General features: G+C 39.0%; 3 long non-coding RNA genes across 5 annotated transcripts in view; 2 read left to right on the plus strand and 1 right to left on the minus strand.

Moving 5' to 3' along the window:
* Nucleotides 1–5,891, plus strand: part of LINC03092 (long intergenic non-protein coding RNA 3092) — a 29,891-nt gene extending 24,000 nt beyond the window's left edge. For both annotated transcript variants that reach the window (XR_001753454.2, XR_001753453.3), the window contains one exon: nt 3,192–5,891. This is a non-coding gene — a long non-coding RNA (long intergenic non-protein coding RNA 3092). The remainder of the gene's footprint in view (nt 1–3,191) is intronic.
* Nucleotides 1–25,999, minus strand: part of LINC03069 (long intergenic non-protein coding RNA 3069) — a 187,650-nt gene that overhangs the window by 16,598 nt on the left and 145,053 nt on the right. The window contains exons 7-8 of the long non-coding RNA NR_148972.1: nt 7,587–8,730; nt 5,131–5,185 (exon numbers count right to left, since the gene is read on the minus strand). This is a non-coding gene — a long non-coding RNA (long intergenic non-protein coding RNA 3069). The remainder of the gene's footprint in view (nt 1–5,130; nt 5,186–7,586; nt 8,731–25,999) is intronic.
* The window catches only part of LINC01905 (long intergenic non-protein coding RNA 1905), a 54,038-nt gene continuing 50,106 nt past the window's right edge, over nt 22,068–25,999 (plus strand). For both annotated transcript variants that reach the window (NR_146510.1, NR_146511.1), the window contains exon 1: nt 22,068–22,134. This is a non-coding gene — a long non-coding RNA (long intergenic non-protein coding RNA 1905). The remainder of the gene's footprint in view (nt 22,135–25,999) is intronic.

A 25,999-nucleotide genomic window follows, 5' to 3' on the forward strand; every position in this document is an offset into this window, starting at 1 on the left:
TGAGGGCACCACTCTCTCTTGCTTCTATTCTACGCTGTCTCCTTTTGTTTTCGACATTTCTGACAATACCTTTTCAGCTTCCTTCTTTGGCTTTTCTCTCATCTCTCTTCCTTTTCCTAGGGCTCACCTATTAACATTCCCTGAGATTCTTCATTTACTCCAATATCTTAAATATGATAACAGGTCTCGAATGCATATTTATATTTTATTTTTTGAGACAGAATCTTGCTCTGTCACCTAGGCTGAAATGCCATGGCATGATCATGGCTCACTGCAGCCTTGGTCTCCCAGGCTCAAGCAATCTTCCCGCCTCAGGCTCCCAAGTAGCTGGGACTACAGGCAGGCACCACCATACCTGGCTGATGTTTTTGAATTTTCAGTAGATACAAGGTCTCACTATGTTTCCCAGGCTGGTCTCGAATTCCTAAGCTCAAGCAGTACTCCCACCTCAGCCTCCTAAAGTGCTGAGAGCAACCACACCCAACTCAAATACATATTTCTAATGAGACATGTTACTAAAACTCAGAATTATGTCTCCAACTGCCTACTGAGCACTTCAAATACAACATATCAACAACAGAACTTACTTTCCCCCCAAACACTCTTTTTTATTCAGCTTCTTGATTGGGAGACCTCTGGAAATTATACTTAATTCTTTCTTTTCTTTCATTTGCTTCTGTGGCCCATTTGATTCTACTCCTATTTCTTGAACACACTGAATTATTTCCATTCCACTTTCCATGTCCTCATTATTGTTCTCATTGCCTTTCCCTTGAACTACCAGAACTCTCCTCATAATGTCTCTAGCCTTCATATTCACCCACCTTCAATGTAATCCTCACCTAGCCCATTTGTCATTAAGGTGGACTCTGAAAGCAAAATGACACAACACTTAACAAAGGGGAAAATCCCTTAATTATGTCATTTTGCAGTTAAAAATCCTCAAATGGCACTCCATTGATTTCAAAGCAAAGTGTCAATTATTTGGGCAAAGTCAGGCACTTTTTTGCCTTGACTCTTGTTTGCCCTTCCAGTGGAATCTGCATGATTCCTCCAATGCATTCTTTGATCCACATTTATGCCCTTTATTGTCACCAAACTTTACATGCACATGTAATTTCCTCTTCCTAGAGTGGCTTCCCCTTATTGTTTGGCCTGGAAATATCCAGGCATATTCTCCCTCAAAACTGCATTTAAGCATTATTCCTTCTAGGAAGACCTCCCAAACCCAGTGTAGTATGAGACAAAACCACAGTATGTGAAATCTTAGGAAACCCTAACTAGATGCCAAAATGATCAGTTTAGTCTAAATTTATTTGCAAACATTAGCTACTAGTAGATAATGAAATAAATCAAGTTATTCTTTATCTATGAAGATATCATTTTTTGAATAAGTCCCCCAAATATGGAGTTAGATGACTCATCAGAGCAGGGTGTGAGTGTTCAGGAAAGCCTGTGCATACTTAGGTCATCTATATGAGTTAGGAATGCAGATGCATAATAAATTGGTTGGGATTTATTAATACATGCACCTGCATTTCTGCTTAAGAAGCTATTGTTTGATCTAACGATGTCCTATAGAACAAGCCCAAAACAAACCAAAGATATTTTCAAGGCTCAAGTATATCGGGCATATGGGAAGCATGTAAATGTTCAAAGAGGATGTCCAGTAATGAGGAATCCAACATTTATCCCAATAGCAACATGTTAAATGCTCCCACTCCCTTCTGACCATTGCTGCTCAAGTGTTTCCTTCTGAGATAATTCCTTGAAAGTGTGTGTACATGACCAGTCTCCATGGCTAACACATACACATGCATGGAACCTAGAAGCATTAAGGAACAACTCTGAGGTCATTAGAAGCTAAAAATACTGAACCTTCACACTTGCCCTTGAGCAAGTATTCTTTAGCAGAAAAGCCAAAGGGATTATAATAAAATGAACAAACAACAAGCCTACTCATAAAGCATGTTATGCTTTATGGATAGCGCCCCCCCATTAAAAAAAAACAAAAACAACAAAAAAGCCCAGGATGATTGCCTTTTACTATTGGAAGGGAGGGGGAATTTTGCAAAAAGCTGCTATTTGTATAAACCTGTGGACCCACCACCCTCAATAATATACAAAATAGAAAGAACTATTTGTTTCAAGATGGTCTTGTTTTTTATTTGTTTAATAATAGCTTTATTGAGGTAAAATTCCTATACTATAAAATTTACCATTTAAAGTATATAATTAAATGATTTTTAGATATTTACTATGTTGTGCAAGTATTACCACTATGTAATTTTTAAAAATCTTTAGCACCCCCCAAAAGAAACCCTGTTATGCAAATAATCATACAGAGTTATTTGCAAATATGCAAATGCTGAATATTTGCATCTCCCCAAATTTCATATTTTGAAGCCCTAATCCACAATGTGATATTATTTGAAGCTAGCACTTTTAGGAGGTAATAAGATTAAATCAGGTCATAAGAGTGGAGTCCTAATCCCATAAGACTGGAAGCCCTATAAGAAGAGAAAGAGAGTCAGATCTTTCTCTCTCTTTCCATGCACACGCACCACTGAGGAAAGGCTATGTGAGCATGCAATGAGAAGGCGGCCATCCGCAAGCTAGGAAGAGAGCCCTCACCAGGAATCAAATCAGTTGGCACCTTGATTTTGGACTTCCTAGCCTTCAGCACTGTGAGAAATAAATTTTCGTTTTTTAAGTCATTCAGTTTTTGGTATTCTGTTACAGCAGCTTGAATTACCAATATAAACCCATACCCATTAGCAATCACTCCCCATGCTCCCCTTCCTCAGTTCCTAAAAGCCACCACTCTACTTTCTATGGATTTGCCCATTTGGGCACTTCATATAAATGGAATCATCTAATATGTGGCCTTTTGTGACAGGCTTCTTTCACTTAGCATATTTCCAGGTTCCATTCATGATGTAGCATTTATTGGTACTTCACTACTTTTTATTGCTAAATAATATTACATTGTAAGGGTACAACACATTTTGTTTATACATTCATCAATTCATGAACATTTGGGTTGTTTTTACTCTGGGACTATTATGAATAATGCTGCCATGAACATTCATGTGCAGGTTTTTGTGTGAACATATGTCATCGGTTCTATTGTTTATATACCTAGAACTGGAATTGCTATGCCATGTAACTCTATGTTTTAACATTTCCAGGTACTGCAAGCTTACTTTCCAACGTGGCTGCATCGTTTCACATTCCCACCAGCAGTATGAGGTTTCCAATTTCTCTGCATCCTCATCAAAACTTGTTATTATCTGTCTTTTTTATTTTAGACGTTCTAGAAGGTGTGGAGTGGTATCTCATTGTGGTATTGATTTGCATTTCCTTAAGGACTAATGCTTTTGAACATTTTTTCATGTGCTTATTGGCCATTTGTATATCTTCTCTGGAGAAATGTTTATTCAAATCCTTTGTCCATTTTTTAATTGGATTGTCTTTTTATTGTTGCATGGTATAAGTTCTCTATATATTCTGGACACAAGTCTCTTATTAGTTATACCATTTGCAAATATTTTCTCCCATTCTGTGCGTTGTCTTTTAACCTTTCTAATGTGTCCATTGAAACACAAAAGTTTTTAATTTTCACAAAGTTCAATTTATCTACTTTTTTCTTTTGTCACTTATTTGTATCATATCTGAGAAACCATTACCTAATCCAAGGTCAGGAAGGATTACTCCTATGTTCTCTTTTGAGAGTTTTATTGTTTTTACTCTTATATTTAAGTTGAATATCCATTTTGAGTTAGTTAATTTTTGTATATAGTATGACATAGGATCGAGAGGATCTTGTTAATCACTTTTTCCTGATATACATCAGCTTCAAATGTGAAGCTATAAATCTCCCTGTAGGTTTCCTGAAAGCCCTCATTATATAAAGCAACTTCTGTGACAAATTTGACTTGATTAATTAATTAATTAGAGACACAGTCTTGCTCTGTCCCCCAGACTGGAGTGCAGTGGTGCCATCTTGGATCACAGCAACCTTCAACTCTCAGGTTCAAGCAATTCTAGTGCCTCAGCTTCCCAAGTAGCTAGGATCACAGGTGTGCACCAGCATGCCTGGCTACTTTTTGTATTTTTAGTAGAGGCATGTTTTTGCCATGTTAGCCAGACTGGTCTCTAACTCCTGGCCTCAAGTCTTCCCCTGCCTTGGCCAACCAAAGTGCTGGGATTACTGGTGTGAACCACCGTGCCTAGTCATGATAATTTATTGAGTGGAGTTCTGTTCAAGATGATGGAGGGCTAACAGCAGCAAAAGCCAGGCTCACTGGCTCTTGCCTGTAATCCTAGCACTTTGGGAGGCCTAGTTGGTTAGGTAGATCACCTGAGCTCAGGAGTTCGAGACCAGCCTAGCCAACATGGCGAAACCCTGTCTCTACTAAAAATACAAAAATTAGCCGGGCATAGTGGTGGATGCTAATAATCCCAGCTACTCTGGAGGCTGAGACAGGAGAATTGCTTGAACCTGGGGGCGGAGGTTGCAGTGAGCTGAGATTGCGCCACTTCACTTCAGCCTGAGTGACAGAGTGAAATTCCATCTTAAAAGAAAAAAAAAAAAAAAAGGAAAGAAAGCAGCAAAGAGAATTTTTTGGCAAGATTATGAGCCAATTTTAAGAGCTTTTATTACATTTCAAATGTGATTTTAAATTCTCAAAGTTGGACAGATAGCAGGGAAAGAATGGTCACAGACTTTTCCCTAATATTTTAAGTTGCTTCAAACCAGTTATTAAATCTTATATGTATTTTTTAAAGACTTATTCCACAGGGGTTTGATTAATTTACACAGACTTCTTCCAAAACTGTATCTAAACCACATTGTTGATATCTAAGAAACTCTATGAGCTTCTTCAAAAGCCCTCTTAAAAATACAACAAAATCATGTTAGCAACTCCAGATTCCAAGTTGAAATCCTCCCGCTTTAGTATAAGAACCATCAGTTTTGAATGAGTCTGGATACGAAAACCTATTTTCCCATTTTGAGGAGAAAATCCCTTTTTAGAGACTCTTTCTTGAATGGATATTTGTTATAACATATTTGGGCTTAGGGCTAAAACCTTTGGTTTGTAAGCTGAGGTTTTCATTTGCACTTACCATCAACAGCGTATAAGTTGAAAAGAATCTCAGGTCTGGTTGCTGTCCTGAGCTACTGCAAAGAAGAAACCACTGAGAATAAGAGCATTTCAATTATTGTACATCACATTTGCTATTTGCTGCCGTTATTCTTCTATTAAAGGAGGATAATCAACTGATATGATATTGTAGATCTCAGTGCCTAGTGCATTGTAGGTCCTCAATATATGTTGATTCTTCTTTTCTTTACATATTTTTGAGGTACAGAAAGAAGTTCTTAAAATGGTTTTTAACTGTAATCATTTTGGAAAATTAGCTATGAAGATGGAAATTTGTGAACAAAGGAGAACTTGCAAATGCCATTTTACTGAGCATGTTACTGAATGGTTATATAAGGAGTAAATATTCTCTCAGCCTTAGTAAGTAAATATGAACCAATAAGAACACAGGTGAGGACTCTTTTCCTAACCAGAATAGATGGCTAAGGTTTACAGGGCAATAAATTAGACTATTTGTATCCAAAGCAATATTGTTGTCACCACCAATTGTAATAAGCATTTTTATAATTTATGCCTTTAATGTGTTTATTATGAAAAAGCTTCTAAGTATATTGCACAAGTGGTAATCTGCTCCAGAACTGGAAATTTGGGAGACTTGGTTTTTGGACTCAGCCTATTCACTATTATTTGGTTGATAGGTTTATTATTATTATTATTATTATTTTTTAAAGGCCTGAGACAGTAGAGACTTTCTAATAAAATATGCTGCAGTGATGAAAATTACGCCATGTCTTTTGTCTTAATATCTATAAGAACACTGAAAATTGGCCTGACAATGAATTATAGGATAATTTGTAAAAATGCATAGTGGTTTTACTATAAATATAGTTTATTTCAAAACCACAGAGATTGCTCACAATCATTGCTCTATGTAACTAGGCAAAGCAATTTTGCAGCAAATAGATGACAAGAGTCATGAAAAATATTTTTTGGACTTGTTAAGTGAGAGCAAAGAACAAGCAGGGGGGATTTAAGTGAGTTAAGAAATGGTTTTCCAGTTCTTACATTAATTTATTCAGGATATGAAAGTGAAAAAGCATTCAAAACGTTTGCATCTAAATCTTAATCTGGTGAAATTTCTTCTTTCAATTACAGTTCAAAGGCAGTTATTAACTACTCATTGTGTGAGGGACACAGGAAAAAGAGTATACAATCCTTAATGGGAATAAGCTTCCATTTTACTTTGGAGGCAAAAATATGCAGAAACACTTTAAGTACAAGTCTCCTAAGGATAAAAATGAATACAATATTTCCTAACATGAAGTTGTCAGGAAACAACTGATTCCAAGTATTACCTACCCGTCCCAGGTGTCATGTGAGGTCACACTTCCTTTGATGCCCAAATCACATAAGACTGAACTTCCACTATACCTCACCAAAGGATGCACAGGACCCCTCCTCCACATGTTTCTAAGGATCCCCAGGGAGTGCTTTCGGGATTCTGTTTTTTGCTGGATTTTGCTGTTTTTAAATTAATTCATTTGTTTATTTTGGTTGGGTGCACTTCCCTTTAGCACAATCCACTGGAACAGCATAATATATGACATCAATACATAACCCTAAATCTAGGTTATTCAGGATTCCAGAACACTGCAGAAGGACTTTAGCAGAACAGCAAGGGTTGCTTCCAGGCATCCCAGCAAGGACAGTGCCTCCACCATAATATAAACTGGTAAATATATGCTTCCATGTCACAACTACAGCCTTCCAGTAACTATCAGACAGGGAGTGTTTAGAAAAGAACAAATATACATCTCCCAAGAAAAAAACTAATATTTAGAAAACATCTTTCCAGAAAGGAATGATCCATGGAGATGCAATTCTACCCACCAAACCAAACAAAACAAAACAAAAACAAAAAACCTATCTTTTACACAATATGTGTAAAGAGTAAGACCTTTCAATTTTACTTTTGATGGACAAAAATGCCTATCAAATGATTTCCCACAAACCAAATAGCAGTTACCCCAAAGGTTAATTCAGATCTCTCCTTCTGGAGAAACTGAAACGAGCCTTAAAATGTGAATCTTCCTTTTTGATCTTGCAGTAATCAAGGTTTAAAAAGTATTAGGGTTCAGATTCATCCAGAATATGCCATTCCCCAAGAAAACAAAGGGGTAGACACTCTAGAGGAAGATGGAAAGGACTGTATCAGATGAGCAGGGTTAATCCCTTCCCAAGCCATTAACAATCTCTGTTGGTCTGTGAATATCGCTCCACCGACCCCCAATTTCTCCACCTGTACTTTAATAATAATAAATCTTATTTTACAGTGTTTTATAAAAATTAAATGAGAAGAATGCATGTGAAAATGCCTAACATGGTGTTTGGCACTGTATCAGTCTGTTTTCACGCTGTTGATAAAGACATACCCAAGACTGAGCAATTTACAAAAGAAGAAAGTTTAACTGGACTCACAGTTCCACGTGGCTGGGGAGGCCTCACAATCATGGCAGAAGGCGATGGACGAGCAAGTCACATCTTAAGTGGATGGCAGCAGGCAGAGAGAGCTCATGCAGAGAAACTCCTGTTTTCAAAAACCATCAGATCTTGTGAGACCCATTTACTATCAGAAGACCAGCACAGGAAAGACCAGCCCCCATGATTCAATCATCTCCCACCGGGTCCCTCCCACAAAACCTGGGAATTATGGGTGCTACAAGATGAGATTTGGGTGGGGACATAGAGCCAAACCATATCAGGCACATAGCTGATACACTCCTTCTTTAAGAGGGTAGAATATGGTATATATTGCATTATTCAGTACTAAAAGAGCTCAGAATGACATTGTTTAACCCGTGGTATTTGCCACCTCCAATCCAAGGAGCCATATTCCAGAGTTACAAGAGAAAGAGAAAACATTTCAAGTTGATGCCTGCGTTTCTAGGTAGAATCACATGATGACTTCCTTCCCGTTATTATAGCCCTGGCTCCCTGTTAGTCAGGGAAGATGAACCTAGAGGAAGTAGAAGGAAGAAGAGTGACATGCAGGAAGCTTCCCTAGAAACATTCTCATTAGCCTTCCTTGGGTCTGTGCCTCGATACACCAGCCCATCATCATCATGATCATCAACACCATTATCATCATCATTGTGCTCTGTAGCAGCCACAGACCTGGCAGTTCTCAATGGCCATTTACAGAATGCCCACATGTGCTGGGCTCTGTGAGAGACTATACAGACACTGGACAATCAAGTGAAGAGTGATTCTGCTTGCAAATGGACAGTGAAGAGAGTGCTTCCCATCCCTTCGTATTTGCCTTTGATGACTAAGAATGAGGCACATTGTTGCCTGTGGAGTTAGGAAAACAACTTTCCAATGACCCACTTTCCCATATCTCTTAGCTATTGCAGCTCATACAATCTCAGGGCTGGAAAAGATCCTAGAAATGATCAGACTCACTTTGCAAAAGGACATGAAAGTCCAGAGAAGCTGTGACTCACCTGAAGTCAGGGAACTCATCAATGAGAACAGGAACAGGAGCCTGGGTTACCTACTTTCAAGCTCAGCAGACTTTCCAGCATACCACCATGCCTCTCTTCTTGAATAATTTCCTGAAGTTCTAAGAAACATGAGTAGAATATACCTGATACTAAAACAATATGAGTATTTCTGGTAGAAGTAGTAAATTGCCTGTTTCTATATTAGAACAATGATTTTATAAAGATTATTATTACTAAGAAGACAAAGAGAATATTTCTGAAATGTTGACAGTTGGTATACTTTTCTGGAATTCCAATTTGCTTTCCTGGTTAAATTTTGGAGTCTCAAATTTTATTATTAAATTATCATATCTTTAACTATTAAATGGTATCTAATTTCATGATTGAAGACAGTAAAGGTGCTAGGTATAAAAAGACAGCATAATCTTTCTAACAGTGCCGTGGAAGGGCCCTTTTGAAGCCAAAGTCTTCAAATGTAATTCAGCCAGAATATACTATGGTATTATGTGTGCCTTTTCTTGATTTTTTTTCCCATTAAAGAATGTTGAATTTGAATGTTTTGTTTTAGACACTCCCAATTTTGGTGTGGGAGCATAGGACTTGAACAGACTGGCTCTAATTCTTTATAAGAAAAAGTAATGTATAACCTAGTAGAGAGCATAGGCTTTAGAGTCCAAAGATTTGAGTTCAAATTCCAAATTATTCAGTTTCTCTAAACTTTAGTGTGCCGTATGATAAATGGTGATGAGAATTGTTTCTGTGGATACTATCTGGGATTAGTACATGTAAAGTGTCTGGGACACATGGGCTGTCATTAAATGGCAGCTAATTTTAAAGCTGCTAAAGGAACATTTTACGTAGACCAAATGCTTCTGATATATTGTCTCACTTCACCTCACGGTTCCACTGCAAGGAAACTCGGGCTGAGAGAATTTGGGCCATTGGCCCAGAGGATCCCTCGGGACCAGGTCATAAAATGGCAGGGACTAAATTAAGATGGGCCTGACTCTCAAATCTTGGGTATTTGTACTATTTTTGGAAACACTGAAATGGCTAAGGGGATGGGAAGAGGAGGTATGGTAGTGAATGTCTGTAGGCCTTTAGCTTTGCAAAGACACAATCCCCTTCCTCCCCCATTCTTTTGTAATTCCAAGATAGAATACTTTGGAAATCTTTGTTCATCCAATGTGCATCCGCTTTTCCATATGACTCTGTATTTCTGAGCAGACTGTAAGTAACTCATTCCAAGCTCAAACCACACACCCCGAGAACAGCACTAAGAAGAATTCAATTGATTCTTGGGGACAGGGGTAGTCTTCCTGCTAACAGCCCCTCTCCCCTACCTTCCTGCCTGCTTGCTGGCTGTTAGCATGTTTGTCTTTTGCACAAGGCATCCAAGTTGACAGGTTGGTGAGGTAATCAATAGGAGAGAGAGCAGATGATTATCACGGGCACAGAAGGCAAAGGTTATCACTACATGTTTTAACTTCTGTTAAAATTTTATGGGACCTGTAGGAGGAATGGTGAGTACAAAATAATTTGCTGGAAAATCCAGAACTAATTAATCTATTACCATATTCCATTATAATACATTTAAACAAGGCACCTACTTCCGTTTCTAAAAGTCATGCATCCAATTCTAACAAGCTGTTTTCCCCTTTGCAATGTGAAAAAATTTTCTTTCTACTATGCTGAAAATTAAATTGGCCATGTGTACAAAAAAACAGACAATAAAGGCCTATGGCACTAAAATCTCATTAAGATTTTTTTTGGTGACAGTGCACAAAATATTATAAAATAATGTGAAATCCAAGTATTCTTAAATAATCTAAAACTGAATGAGATGGAATAGACTCTTTCAGTACCAGAATTATATTTCCTTCAGAAATCCTCTGTTATGGTTAAATTTAGGACCAGGTTTGCTGCACATGTTGATCTAGGTTATATAGTATAGTTTGTGGAGCGTTCATTCAGTCATAAGAAATACAAAGCTATGTCAGCTTTCAGATAATACTAGTAACATTCAGAATATTGTCTCAAACAGTTAAATATCACTACAGAGTCTTCCAAAAAGACTTTTTTCCCTTGATTTATGCGACTCAAATGTTAAGAGCCCTAATGAGCCTTAGCCACATTTATTTGGCTACTTAAAATACTCAGCTTGGTGAATGATTTGGGAGTGTTAACAAGATAAGAAATCAGAATTTTGTTTCACATTAACATTCAAAGATTTGCCTTAAGGTCATCAATCTGATTTATTAAATTTCTTCATGAGAAAACCCAAGGCAATTCCACCTGCCATGCAGAATTGGTCTTACTCTTAGGCAGAGTCAATTTTTGCTATGAAATGATTTTTAAGTTAAGATGTTAGTTTTGCTAACATGGCAGGTGCTCCTCAGGCCTGTGGGCTTATGGGTTTATAGCTAAGATATCATCTTGATGAGCATCAGTTGTTTTGGGGACACGTTGAGGCTTAAGTTTGGAATGCAGAGAAGAAGAAAGGTTTCTTTGGAGACTAAAGTAGAGATCTGTTCTGCTCATCCAGAATCTATCCTTGGCCCTCTGGTAACAGCTCCGCTGTCCCCCTTTTGGGGATTTCGCTCCCCCATTGCAAATACTCCTGGTGAAACTGTAAATTGAGATGTTCTGCCCTCATCAGGCCAGGAATGGGCAAATAACATTAGCCAACATATAAGCCTCTTTCTGGAATTTGAACTTTAAGCCGCATGACAATAATTTTTTAAAATTATTGCTATTGATTCATCCCAGTGGTGGCATACTGAAAAGACTGTCCCTTAGTTCCTGCCACTTAGATCTCTAGAGCTATTCATCATTCCAAGGTCTATTTTCTCCATATTTTATTTTATTTTATTTTAGGAACTACCCCATACCTTATCCATCAATTAAATTTCTCTCATTTAGAAGTAGTCACAGTTATTTGCTGTTGCTAACAACAAAGAATTGTAACCAGCACAGATATTCCTAAGGAGATGTAAACAGTATGGGTCATTGAGAGCCTGGGAAGAAGCTCTACCCAGACAAGGGCAAGAGGTGCACAGTGAGGTGGCTGAAGACAGCAATATACAGCCTTCAGCCCTGCACAGGCTGGTCTACCTTTGATGAAGGTAAAGCCACTCTAATAACATAGACTTCTACTTTTTCACAATGTCCAGTGCCTTCTATAAACTTATCTTTTCTCATTTTTTTTAGAAAAGCCATAGACCATTTTTAAAGTCTACAGTGGAAATATTTCCTTTCTCAGAGACCTTGAAAGCCCAAATAAAATGAGTTTGAGTGTTCTGAATCTTCCCAACTATGAGGGTCTGGAGGCAGGAAAAAGAGAAAAGACTTCATCTTCCCCATAACCTTAATCTTCCCAATTCCTAGGTAAATGTGTATCTATGGTAAATCTCAGGAGCTCTCTTAGATGTCCTGTCACCAGGAAAGTGATCCAGCTAAAACCTTGGGATAGTGTGTGTATTAGTCCTTCTCACGCTGCTATTAAAAAATACCCAAGACTGGGTAATTTATAAAGGAAAGAGGTTTAATTGATTCACAGTTCCACAGGGCTAGGGAGGCCTAGAGAAACTTACAATCATGGCAGAAGGGGAAGCAAACACATGGGGCAGCAGGAGAGAAAAGTGCTGAACAAAAGGGGGAAAAGTCCCTCATAAAACCATCTGATCTCATCAGAACTCACTATCATGAGAACAGCCACATGGGGTAACTGTCCCCATGATTCAATTACCTCCCACCAGGCCCCTCCCATGACACATGAGGATTATGGGAACTAAAATTCAAGATGAGATTTGGGTGGGGACACAGCCCAATCATATTCCACCCTGGCCCCTCCCAAATCTCATGTCCTCATATTTGAAAACACAATCATACCTTCCTAACAGTCCCTCAAAGTCTTAACTCATTCCAGCATTAACCCAAAAGTCCAAGTCCAAAGTCTCGTCTAAGACAAGGCAAATTCCTTCTGCCTCTAAGCCTGTAAAATTGAAAGTAAGTTAGTTACTTCCTAGATACAATGGGGATACAGGCATTAGGTAAATACACCCATTCCAAAGGGGAGACCTTGGTCAAAACAAAGGGGCTACAGGCACCATCCAAGTCCAAAATCCAGTGGGGCAATCATTAAACCTTAAAGTTACAGAATGATCTCTTTGACTCCATGTCTCATATCCATGGCACCCTGATGCAAGAGGTGGGGTCCCATGGCCTTGGGAAGCTCTGGTCCTTCACCTTTGCAGAGTACAGCCCCACTCCCAGCTTCTTTCATGGGCTGGTGTTGAGTGCCTGTGGCTTTTCTAGGCTCATGGTGCAAGCTGTCAGTGGATCTACCATTGTGGAGCCTGGAGGATGGTGGCTCTATTCTCACAGCTCCACTTGGCAGTACCCCAGTGGGAACTCTCTGTAGGGGCTCCAACCCCACATTTGTCTTCTGCACTGCCCTACCAGAGGTTCTTCATGAAGGCTCTGCCCCTGTGGCAAACTTCTGCCTGGACATCCAGGCATTTCCATACATCCTCTGAAAGCTAGGCAGAAGTTTGCAAACCTCAATTCCTGCAGGACCAACACCACATGGAAGCTGCCAAGGCTTGGGACTTGCAACCTCTGAAGCAATGGCTCAAGCTGTATGTTGGCCCATTTTAGCCATCGCTGGATCTGAAGCAGCAGGGACACGGGGCACCATGTCCTGAGGCTGCACAGAGCAGAGGGGCCCTAGGCCCAGTACACAAAAGCATTTTTTCCTCCTAGGTCTCCAGGCCTGTGGTGGAAGGGGCTGCTATGAAGGTGTCTGACATGCCCTGGAGACATTTTCCCCATTGTCTTGGTGATTAACATTTAGCCCCTTATTACTGGCACAAACTTCTGCAGCTGGCTTGAATTTTTCTCTGGAAAATGGGCTTTTCTTTTCTATCACACGTCAGGCTGCAAATTTTCTGAACTTTTATTCTCTGCTTCCTCTTTAACACTTTGCCACTTAGAAGTTTCTTCTTCCAGATACCCTAAATCATCTCCCTCAAGTTCAAAGCTCCACAGATCTCTAGGGCAGGGGCAAAATGCCACCAGTCCCTTTGCACAGCAAGAGTGACCTGTACTCCAGTTCCCAACAAGTTTCTCATATTATTATTATTGTCCATTTTAGTCCAAGCTATTCAACAAGTCTTTAGGAAGTTCCAAACTTTCCCTCATCTTCCTGTCTTCTGAGCCCTCCAAGTCTCTAGGAATTCCAAACTTTCCCACATTTTTCTGTCTTCTTCTGAGCCCTCTAAACTGTTCCAACCTCTGCTTGTTACCCAGTTCCAAAGTCGCTTCCACATTTTTGTGGAATATATCTTAAGAGCAGGGCCCCACTCTCTATGGTACCAATTTACTGTATTAGCCTGTTCTCACACTGCTAATAAAGACATAACTGAGAGTGGGCAATTTACAAAGGAAAGAGATTTAATAGACTCACAGTTCCATAGGGCTGTGAAGGCAACAGGAAACTTACAATCATGGCAGAAGGGGAAGCAAACATGTCCTTTTTCACATGGAGGTAGGAGAGAGAAGTGCTGAGCAAAAGTGGGGAAGGCCCCTTATAAAACCATCAGATCTTTTGAGAATGAATTCACTATCAGGAGAACAGCAGCATGGGGGTGCCCCCATGGTTCAATTACCTCCCACCAGGTTCCTCCTGCGACACATAAGGATTATGGGAACTACAATTCAAGATGAGATTTGGGTGGAGACACAGCCAAACTATATCAGTGTGGCTCAGTGTTTCCCAGACATTAGACTTCACATGCCAGTAAAGCTTAAAAAAAATTAGACTGACTTGCAATTGCTATTTTTTTGTTATACCATATAAGAATATTAAACTAGAAGAAATCACCAAATACCATCACCACTGATACTTAAAGATAAATTTAAAAATAAAAAGCAAGCAGTATATACATTTACACACACACACACACACACACACACACACATACGCACGCACACACCACACAAAATCAACTAAATGAGCTCTAGGAAAATCCTAATTTATATTGTCCTTATTTCCCTAAGTTCACTGTAGAAAAACAAGCCCTGGTTCAAGAAATGGCCAATAGTTGCATGCCTCTGAGCAGCACCCTGGAGGCAGAGGTCTCTCACTTTGAGATTAACCAGATGATACACAAAGGTTTAGCTTTCTTCTTTTCAGACACACCTTTTCTGGAGACCAACGACAACTACCATCACTGATCCAAGGGCTGAGAAAGATTTTGTTTATGTAAACACGTTGTCATGCTGGACTGATTAGGGACTGAACTGGCTTGGTGTTCTTAACAGAAACTTCCACACCCAAAGGCAAAACCATGAGCATATTACACAATGCCCTGGGGTCAAGGCTGTAGAGTCCCTGGGAAACTCTCTTGGCCCCCTTTTCCAGCTCCTTCTGGCCTCTGGTCTCTAGTTTCTCCTTCATACCTGACCTTCACCCCTCTGCTCAGTGTGTTTAAATAGGTGCTTGGTTTTATCCCTAGATAGAGCCCCAAGCCATGGTTCTATCTGCTGTAGATCTTTAGCCAACTCAGCAATACCCTTAACCCTATCCTAAGTTCCAGGAACCTCTGCCCATTTCTGTTATACCCAGGCCTACATTTTCAGAAGGGATTTTGGACAATCAACTTGATCCCTTCTGGCCATGACAGATTGTGAGCTCAATTTGATTGTCTTAGTCCATTTGGGTTGCTATAACAAAATACCATAGACCGAGTAATTTATAAACAACAAAAATTTATTGCTAACAGTTCTGGAGCCTGGGAAGTCCAAGGCACTGGCAGATTCAGTATCTGGTAAGGGCTTTGCAGATGGTGACTTGTTGTTGTGGTCTCACATGGGGGAAGGGAAAGGCAGCTCCTGGAATCTCTTTTATAAGGGATTAGTGCTTTCCCCTCATAACTTAGTCACCTCCCAAAGCCTTACATCTTGATAACTTCAGCTTGGTGGTTAAGATTTCAACATATGAATTTAGGGGGAACACACACATTCAGACATAGCAATGACCATACTATCACCATGCTCTATTCGTGTATTCTAGTGTAAGTCAGCAAATCCTTCATATTACGTCTCTGAATCCTTTCCTTATGGGAGTCAGGAGGGAAAAAGACTGCTAAGCAAGTACTGGAAGCATGCATAGGTGGTCACACAGGTAGGAGAAAAGGTATACACCACTAGCTTTAAATTCAAGAGTAATGGCAGATGAACGCTTGTTGCAAACTTCTGTAGGTCAATTCAAGGAAGCACGGGCAAGTGGAAGAGAAGAGTCAAGAGTAGCAGAAACTAGCAGAAACTAAAGACCAACCCTTTTATCATTACTTGTTCAGAATACTGGGTTGCCAGTGCCTATGTTAAAGTAGTCAGAATTAAAAGGTCCACATTATCTTAAACATGAGTTACGATTTATATTAGCCATCTTAAATTATTCTGCAGTAATAAATTATCCCCTAATCTTTGTGGCTGACAACACTAACAGTTTAGTTCTTCTCCTGTTACATCGTCATTACAGGTTGGCTGCCGCTCTGCTTTACATGTCTTCATTCCAGGACCCAGACTGATACAGCAGCCCCTATCTGGTATATTATTGGTCTCATGGCAGAAGGAACATGGAAGAATCACACAGCGGCTTTTAAAGCTCATGCTGGGAATTGGCATGTGACACTTCCACTCACATTTCATTGGCCAACCACATCACATGGCCAAGCCTAATGTCAATGAGGTAGGGTCAAAGCATGTTTTGAATAATACAATAGACCCCATGAGTACTCTGTTTTATCTTTCTCATTAAATATCTCCTAACAAGTACAAGTGCCAACAGTCTGTACAAATCCTATTACTCTGAAATTATCAGTAGCACGATATCCAGACCACAGTCTTCATAACTCCTTAAGTCTCCAAATCTCTTCCAAGTATACTGCCAATCCTTCAGTGCTCCTCTGTTCTTCAGGGGAGCCTGCTTACAAAATGGCAGACATGCTCACATGTCTGTCAGTGTTTAGAGTTGATAATGCAAGCACAGCATTTCACCACAGCCCTGGTGGCTGAGTTGCAAAATTATTTATGGCTTTCCCATTTATGGCATGCTGCTCAGTTTCCCATGAGTTGCTAGGAAAAATTCCTGATAGCTACTATGAGCCATTGAAACCTATGAGACTTCATTTATTATGGCATAATATACACATTACCTCACTTGTGTTAGACCATATGGAGAGCTCTCTGTTGAATTTGGCATAGTTCCTGGGGTGAAACGGGAACGGATTCTGTTCCTAGTCCTCTTCAATTATGCTGTATGTTGGATCAGGCAGCCAACTTCAACAGATCATCTGGGCATAGCAATCAGTCCTCAGGACAACATCACTGGCTTCACCTATGCCAATGAAGAATAATAAATGTGACATTGAAGAGTGTCTGAGTGGCAGAGAATAGCAAGATCCCAAGAGTGGATCAATAGGGTGCCCTGCTGAAAGTGAGTTTGTGTGTGGGAGTTGAAGGAGAAGCAGGGCATCCCTTTTTCACTCATTCTGGAACAGGATTTGGAAGGAGAGGCAAGAAGCTCAAGAGAACCTGAAAAGCATAGCTAGTTCTAAGCCCAAATGAGCAACTAGCCACAACGCCTTAAATGGAGAAAGGTCCACCCATGGGTAAAGCCGCAGTACACAATCTGCCATGCCAATTTTCCTCTGCTTAAATAAAGGAACAAATGAACACTTGGTCTCTGTAGGCATTGAGGGAGGGAATGTTAATCCCCATAATGTAGATTTAAGGAGAAAAGTGGCCAATATGTGGGTATTTTGGTAAATCTGGGGCTGGTTTATATGATCCAAAGTAGGCTTTGTTTGTTTTGTTGTACACATGATTGGAATTCCTTTGGGAGGCCTTTTCTACTTGGATGGTAGGGGGAACACTAACCGTTTTAGTAATTGATCAGACATTTTACTAATTATTACAATGATTTATCTAATGTAAAAGCAACCACATAAAAACTGGTCTGGAAATTAATATGATAACCTGAGAAAACAATCCTAATAATTTTCTCCTTTTACAATTAAAATTTTAAAAATTGTTCTGCACTTTTCCTGTTTACATTGCCACTCCATCTGTCTATGTCTGTGAATCTCTCTGCCTTTTGCTCTCTCTTTCTCCCTCAAACACACACATTGACCTAAAAGGCAAAGCAAAACTCTTCAATAAGTAAGAAGAGTTAGCAAGTACTCTAAGAGACTTAGTGTGTAACCACAATCCTTCCCCATCTTTCTTTTTCCGCATGGCATCTCCTATGCTTCTCATCTTTATTGAAATGGAACATTAATACTTGAAGAGTTCCCATTGCAAGATATTATCACTAATAATGAGCTGTGGGTGAAACAGACCACTCGCTTCCAAAGACAGTTCTAACTTTGCTGATGGTTGGGTATTTGAAATAAAACCAAAAGATTGGTGCCCATCCCCCCAAAAAAGTCTAATTAGTGTTCGTCTATTGGAGAGGAAGCTGAGCATGCTGCTCCACCACTGCCAAATGAAATTAAGGCCCAATTATTGATAAATGAAGAGTGGTTTGTGCTGGAGCCTGGCCTGGAGTCGCGGAAATACATCTGTCATTTGGCCTGCGCAGGAGTCATTCATGTGTGACATAGCATCCTGTGCATTTATCATGCATCTGTAGATTTTTGTTTTAATTCAGTTAGCTGTCTAACTAGATTCAGTGCTGGATGCCTCGAATGGAGTCAGGATTTGGACTGACAGATGCAATTCTAGTCTGAAATGGTGTGTGACAGGACTAGCTATCCTGCATATTAATTATTATTGAAACCATTATAGGCAGAGCTTTTGCACAAATGGTCGATTCGGTTATCTGTTTTGTGGCTTCTATAGTTAACAATTGCCCAGTTGCTCCAGGGCAGGTAGGAGACATGCTGGATCAATGAACCATTGTTGTTAAGTGCACTTACTATTACCATGAAAATTAGAATGGAGGTGCTTGAAAGGCAGGAATGAAAATGCCCCTGCCTTACCATTATGCAAATTACAAATTCTATAAATGAGATAAGTGGGGAGAGAAACACTTTTCATAAATCTTAACTAGGTAAAAGAGTTTATTAAGTCCATTGTCAAAAACAAATTGAAAACAAACATTTGTTAAATTGATTAAAAAAAAGAAAAAAAGGAAAGCAAGAAAAGAAATGTCTGCCGGGCTGTTCCCAACCTAACCCCTCTACACAATGCTTAGTTTGGTAGCATGCTAAGGTTTAATTTAAAGTTCTTGTCATTTTATCATTCAGTTGCATAAAATGTTGAAAATAACCATTATCTTCAAAAAGAAGCCAGTAATGCAATTCTTATCCAAAGTTCTGAGAAAATATTTTCTGAGGAGGACTTTAATGAGACCAGTTCCAAGGAAGGACAACCATCCTGTCTCAACCTCCGTGGTTCTCCTTTGTTTTTTACATATTTGACATATATCCTAGTTATTCCCCCAACTCTTTCTTATTTCAATCATCCAGTGAACTTTGGTGAGCCCTGCAAAAAACATTCCCATCACAGAGGATTGATTGAGGTAAATGTTGCTGAAACTTACGGTGTTCCTTGCCATTTGCTTATCAACCTCATGTATATGAATTATGTGATCGCAAACTGTGAGTTCTGTTTCTGGCACAGCACAAATTACACACTTTCACTCCTTAAAGAATTTATAAAGTTGCTGAGGATTTTGATACAGCAAAATACAAAATGGTAACACAATGAAATGTACTATTTTGCATTAAAGAGAAAATTCATGGCGGAGTTAAACTAAGAATGATGAATTTGCATCTTTTAAAAAAAATCATATTTGTTAAGGGACATTTCATTTTGGTATTTCAGGTCCAAAGAAGCTTCTACTCTCTTAAATAATTAAAAATTTGCATCTTAGAATAAATGCTTTTTCATCTGATGTTTAAAAATGAGGTGCTTAAAAAGAACCCGGCTTCAATTTAAAAGTTCAATGGCTTGATTATGATATTGGGTTACAAGATTTTCGCTGTTAAAGATCATCTTGAATAAAAGAGCAAATTAGAAAGCAATGATATATCTTGGTATTAATAGATCTTAAAATATTAATAGTCACAATATTCAGGAAATATAAGTAAATTTTGACTACAGTTTGGAAGCTATTATCATTTTTGCGTGATTAGCTACTGCAACTTATAATGTTTGCTTCACTGCTTTATTTCTTTCAATAGCTTTTTTTTTTAATGAGACTCCAAAAACTTAATTATGGCTTATGCAAATATCATTTGAGGGAAAAGAGGGTAATATTAAATCTTTAAAAGCTTTGTTAGGTTAAATGCTAGGAAATTCGTTGTAGGTATTAATGGCATTCAGAGGAAAAATTGAATGGAAGTGAGGGGGGCTTCTGGAGAGCTTCCTCATCCTTCCTTAAAATCACCTATGTGGATCAGTTCTTTCCAACTTTTTTTTTTTTTTTTTTTTTTTTTTTTGAGACGGAGTCTTCCTCTGTCACCTAGGCTGGAGTGCAGTGACGCGGTATTAGCTCACTGCAAGCTCCGCCTCGTGGGTTCACGCCATTCTCCTGCCTCAGCCTCCCAAGTAGCTGGGACTATAGGTGCCAGCCACCGAGCTCGGCTGATTTTTTTTTTTTTGTATTTTTAGTAGAGACGGGGTTTCACCGTGGTCTCGATCTCTTGACCTTGTGATCCGCCCGCCTCCGCCTCCCAAAGTGCTGAGATTACAGGCGTGAGCCACCGCGCCCGGTCAGTTCTTTCCAACTTTTTAATCAAAGATGAGTATTTTCCAAACCTGGAGGGAAAAAAAGAGTTAAAAGAGAGTTTTTGCCTGTGACTTATGTACAGATCAGAAGTCAAATTAAGCCCATTCTTTGCCAAAACTGCTGTAAATGAACACTTGAAGTATGTGGCTACTCTCTTAATAGGCATAATGCAAAACTTCTATTTTTTTATTGAATCATCTACTTTTTTTCTATATTGACTGGATCTCCAATAGTGTGTAAAACCTACAGAAAAATAAACAGGTGAATTAGAGTAACCATCAGGTTTAACTAAGATGCTAAAATTAAAATGTTTTTCTGGGAAGATATGAAGTTAAAAATACGCTACATATTTTTAAAGTACCCATAGCCTACTGAGCACTGCACTTGAAGAATGCTTAATATCATGAAGTTGCCAAATGATACAAACAAAAGTAATGTTTGAGAAGGATGGGAATAAAATGGCAGGAAGAAGGGGAGGACAGGGTCAGAAAAGAAGCAGACAGAAAAGGACAGATTGGATTATATGCCTCTAGAGCAGTGATTCCCAGCTGTCTGACTTTGGACCACTACTAGCCTATGAACATTCACTAGCCTGCTGCTAAAAGAAATAAAAGTTTGGAGAAGGAAAACCTTTTTCTCTACTTTCTTAAGTTCAGTACCTGGAGGCCTGTGAATTAAACTTACAAAAGACAAGTTAATAGGAGAAAAAGAACACAGTTTGTATTAATATTTACACCCATGAGAGTTCACATACAAAAAGATAAAATGCAAACAAGTGATTAGACTTGGGGGCTTATACACCATTTTAACAAAGGAAAGGAGCGTGAGCATCAAGTGACATTAAGTTGTGGAGAAGTGACTAGGAAACATGGGGAGGAACTAATGGAAGATAAGATTTTAGTAAGATCTGTTTATGTAAACTCACCTTAATGTTAACTCTGGTCTTTCATGTTAAGAGCTGCTATTCTTTCTCTTGGGTAAGAGAGAACCTTCTTCAAAGGGAAATTTATGTACAGCTTTTTAGGCAGAAAAGGAGAGGACAGTAAACTCTTCCTGCATTTCTTGATTCTTAATTGGCTTCAGCTCACAATAATCCTTATGCCAAAGTGGCATATTTGAGGGTGAGATATTCTGATCTCCTTCAGAATATAATACTCTGTTTTAAAAAATGATGATACATACTTTCAGTTAACTTAGCTGTCTTTTAGTCTCAGAGTTTGTTTTCTACATTTTCAGCTTTTAAAAAAACTTTCTGTCATGGAAACGTGTTTGTAATCAGTGGTATTCTTTTTCTCTAATGTCTCTACTAGGCAAGGTAAAACCCTGGTGACTTTAATACATTCCTTTGATTGATTTTATTTTATTTTATTTTTTGTTTCAATAGTCCATGATTTCTCAAACAGTTGGTGCAATAGTTTAAATGTTTGTCCTCTCCCTAACACACGTTAAAATTTAATTGCCATTGTCACAGTATTAAGAGGAAGGACCTTTAAGAAGTGATTAGGCCATGGTGGTTCTTCCCTCATGAATAGATCAATGCTATTATCGTGGAAGTGGGCTTGTTATTGCAGGAGTAGGTTCCTTACAAAAGGATGAGTTCAGCCTCCTTTTGCCTCTTTCTCTCCCTCATTCTCTTTTTGCCCTTCTTTCATGGGATGATGCAGCAAGAAGGCCCTTGCCAGATGCCAGCAACTTGATATTGAACTTCTCATCCTCCAGAATGGTGAGCCAATAAATTCCTGTTCATTATGAATTACTCAGCCTGTGGTATTCTAACAGCACAAAATGGATGAAGGCACCTGGAAACAGTGTTCTAAGGCAGTGCCTCCAGAGGAAATATTAATAATAGCCATCTTTATTGAGTCCTTGCTATGCTTCAGACAATATGCAGAGAGTTCCGTGTATTCTCTTTAACATTAATACTGATCCTAACAGATAGACAGTGTTGTCCTGATTTAATAAATGAAGAAAGCAACTTAACAGAAGTTAAGTTGCTTGCCCATGGTGACATAACCATAGGATGACCTTATCATCTACCATTTAAACTGTACACATTTTAAAGTGAAAGACGGCAATATTAACAATTACACCAGGATAACAGATACAGCAAGGTCTTTCCAGGACAACATAGACCATAGAGTCATCCTACAGAACTACTGTATAAGCCAGAATTTAAATCAGATTGCATCTAAAGCCCATAATGCTCTTCCCATGTTTTAAGCTGCCTCTGGAAGTTTCTGTATTTAAATAAAAAAATAAAGAGATCTATTTTGAAGAAACTGAATTCATAGAACTTTATGATACCAAGATACACAAAATAATAATTCAGTCAACAATCCAAGATGATTTGTACCACAGGACGTCTACCACCAATGGTGGTTTTATGAGTGGTGTAAGGATGAAAAGGAGATAATGTGTGTGGGACACGGGCTTGTATCAGAGCTATGTGTTAATGCCTGCTCTTAAGAGAGGAATTCATTTTCCATATGCAGAAGTTAAATGAGTGTAATGGTTTTGTGAGATTCTGACTTCATCTAATGGTGCAGCCAGGACAAAGATAGGGAGAGATTCCCTGGTGGTGAGTTACAGCAGCCAGCAACACAACCCCAGAAATGGGTCTGAGACTAAAAGAGTCTAGCACTATCAAAAAGAAATAGAAAGTCTGGCAATTATTTGCCTTGAATAGGAGCCCTAATATATACTGTAGTTAATAGTGTGTTCTTAACTTTCCCTCTGTTATCTGTGAAAAATGCAGGCAAAAACTGTGTGTCCCAAATAGATCAAGATGATTGTTGGGAACAGAGCTTAATTCCACTAAATCAAAATGATGCCTCATCACTTCCATCTCCCCAATGTTGTAATGAATGAGTGCCATTAAACTTTGAGGTCTACTCCCAATTCTCCCACCTGCACTGTGACCTATAACTTTTTAATTTTGAGAGAAAGGCTCTTCCCTTGCCAGAAAGTGCTTTCTGTTTGTGAAAGAGTATGTAAAACAGCACCAGGTGAAGAATGACTTTTTCACCCAGTCTTGAAACCATCACAAAGAGACAAATTTTGCTGCTTTTGCTTCGTGTGTGAATTTTTTTTTTTCTACACAGCTCTATTCATTGCCTAAAACAATGGGGCCAGTGTTGGCCAGCAAAGAATAGTGCTATTCATGCGCCCTGTACCCTGCACAGTGCCTACACTTGTTAGTCTTGGCTGCCCTGTGAGGCTGGCTGCTGGCAAGAAAGTCGGGTCTATGTTGTTGGATGGTGTAGCAGATCAGAGAACGAACACTGGCAGCCAGATTCCCAGATAACCTCAGCTCCTCTAGAAAACTCTTGTTGACATAAGCCTGTGCTTTGAGGGGTGTCTTGGAATTCCAAGAACTTGGGCCAGGTGTGAGGCCAGGTGGTTGTGGTCCCATTCCAGCCATTCCCATCCTCCTGCTACAACCAAAGCAATTTCGTTAGGGGTCAAATGCCTGGTTTAGGAATCAGACACCTGACTTGAATTCTGGCTCCAGGGCTGACTGGCAATAGGACCATAAGCAAGTCTCTTAACTTCTCTGAATCTCTATTCCATCATCTATAGAGAGGGCATATCAATGCCACCTACCTCATGGGGTATCGTGAAATTCAATGACATAGTATTATGCTATGATTTACATGGAATAAATGTTAGCTATTATTGTCATTAATAAGAGACTGATGTAGTGATTACTGTCACTAATGAAAGATTGGTTTAGGGCATCCTCTCTCGGTAGAAAATTAACCACTGTGAAATCATGGGCAACATCATTGAAGTGATGAGTGACTGGAGGGAGGGGAGAAAGAGGACAAGCCTCAGAACCAGGCTGTGCTTGTAGTGCCAAAGTAAAATGTTTTACACAGGGAAGAAAGTGTACACTGGCAGAGGCCACTCTGTTTGTCTCAAGGATTGAACAGAAGACTAATTTGCTTTCATGTGGCTTATTCCAAAGGACAGTTCCATAAATGTATGCTAGAGATGGTCTCATCAGCCTCTTCTCTAGCTCTCCAACCTAGAGTGAGTGCAGCAGAAAACCTGGACCCTATCCTTAATGTGTGTGTGTGTGTGTGTGTGTGTGTGTGTGTGTGTGTGTGTTTTAAGTGAGAAAGTCTCATAGCTCCTGTTTGATTTCTGTGGGGAAGCAAACTGCCAAATTCAGGCAACCTGTGGAAAACTTGCAGAGGCTCTGGTAGATTCTGGGATCGTCAAGGGCAGGATGCCTGCCTACCGTTCTCTAGAATCACCCCAGTGCAGAGCCTGGCAGACTGCTGGAATTGAAATGTGTTATCAAGATTAGTGCTGCAAAGGAACTGCAATTCCAAATCAAATAAAGTCTAAGAGGGATGTAGGGCTGGAAAGAGACCATCTTTCAAGTTCTTTCCAACCCAAGATGTTGTGATTTTTGAAGCTTTCCTTGCAATAGATGTTGTTTAACTACCTTGTGTCTTCTGTGAAGTTGCCACCATGAAAGCTGGACATGTTTGGCACCCACTTCCCTTGGCACAGTTTATATACTTGTACACTTGTTATAGTATCAGCGCTCTAGATTCTGTTAATGCATGACAGGAAGCATAAAGAGTACTAATCACAAGGGCAATTTTCCAGGTTGTATGTACTATAGAGAAAAGATCATATATACTTGGTAATTATCTTTTCTCCATAGCACATATAACCTGGAAAATATATACTTGGTAATTTAAAATGTATACTTGGTAATTTTAGACATTTTAACCATTACTTCTATGAACAGCAGACTTCACTTGTTATAATCACATAATTAGAAGACATTATTGCAGTTCATAAATGAAATTAATTATAATTTTAATTAAATTTTCAAAGGACAATCTAATAAAAGTAGGATTGATTAGAAAATTATCAATGAATTTACAGATTCATTTAAGACATTTATCTCTGTCACTTTTAAATTTCATTGAAATCTGTTAAAAGTGATGGTAGGTATGCCCACAGTAAGATTTCAATAGTCACCATATTGTTTCAAGAGGTAAACAATACCTAAGATGTGTCTTGGTATCTTTCACTGAGTAGTGAATTTTATCAGTCAACTCCTTTGAACATTGTCTTGAAATAAATTGACAGAAAAATATGACCTGTCCAGCGTTCATTTTGAAATCAAAGTCTTGTCTATTTGGCCAGTTACATTTTTCTTGAAAATGGATTTGGATTTCAGATCAAATGTGTGGCTGAGATAAATTTATTGATGGCCTATTTGAGGGTCATTCATGAAACTGATATAGAGCAATTCTAAGTCCTAGCAGAAGCTGAAAAATGTGTGCAACATTTGTGTCTAAAATAAAAGCTTTGGGGCAGGAAGAAGACCTAGTACACATGCTGGATCTGTTGCTTACAAAATGTGGTTAATATTATTTACATTAGACCCACTTTAGTGGTAGCAGCAAAACCTGCGTAGTTTTCATAGTGTTTGATAATTTTCATTTCACAAATGGAAATGACATCATCAAGAAGGAGGGCCTGTAAATCATGCATTCATTCATTCACTCATTCATTTATTCCACGAATACAAAGCTAGACCCTCTATGCAGGATTTGGTTATA

The sequence above is a fragment of the Homo sapiens genome, chromosome 18, assembly GCF_000001405.40.
Source record: "Homo sapiens chromosome 18, GRCh38.p14 Primary Assembly".
In the NCBI taxonomy this organism is placed as follows: Eukaryota; Metazoa; Chordata; class Mammalia; order Primates; family Hominidae; genus Homo; species Homo sapiens.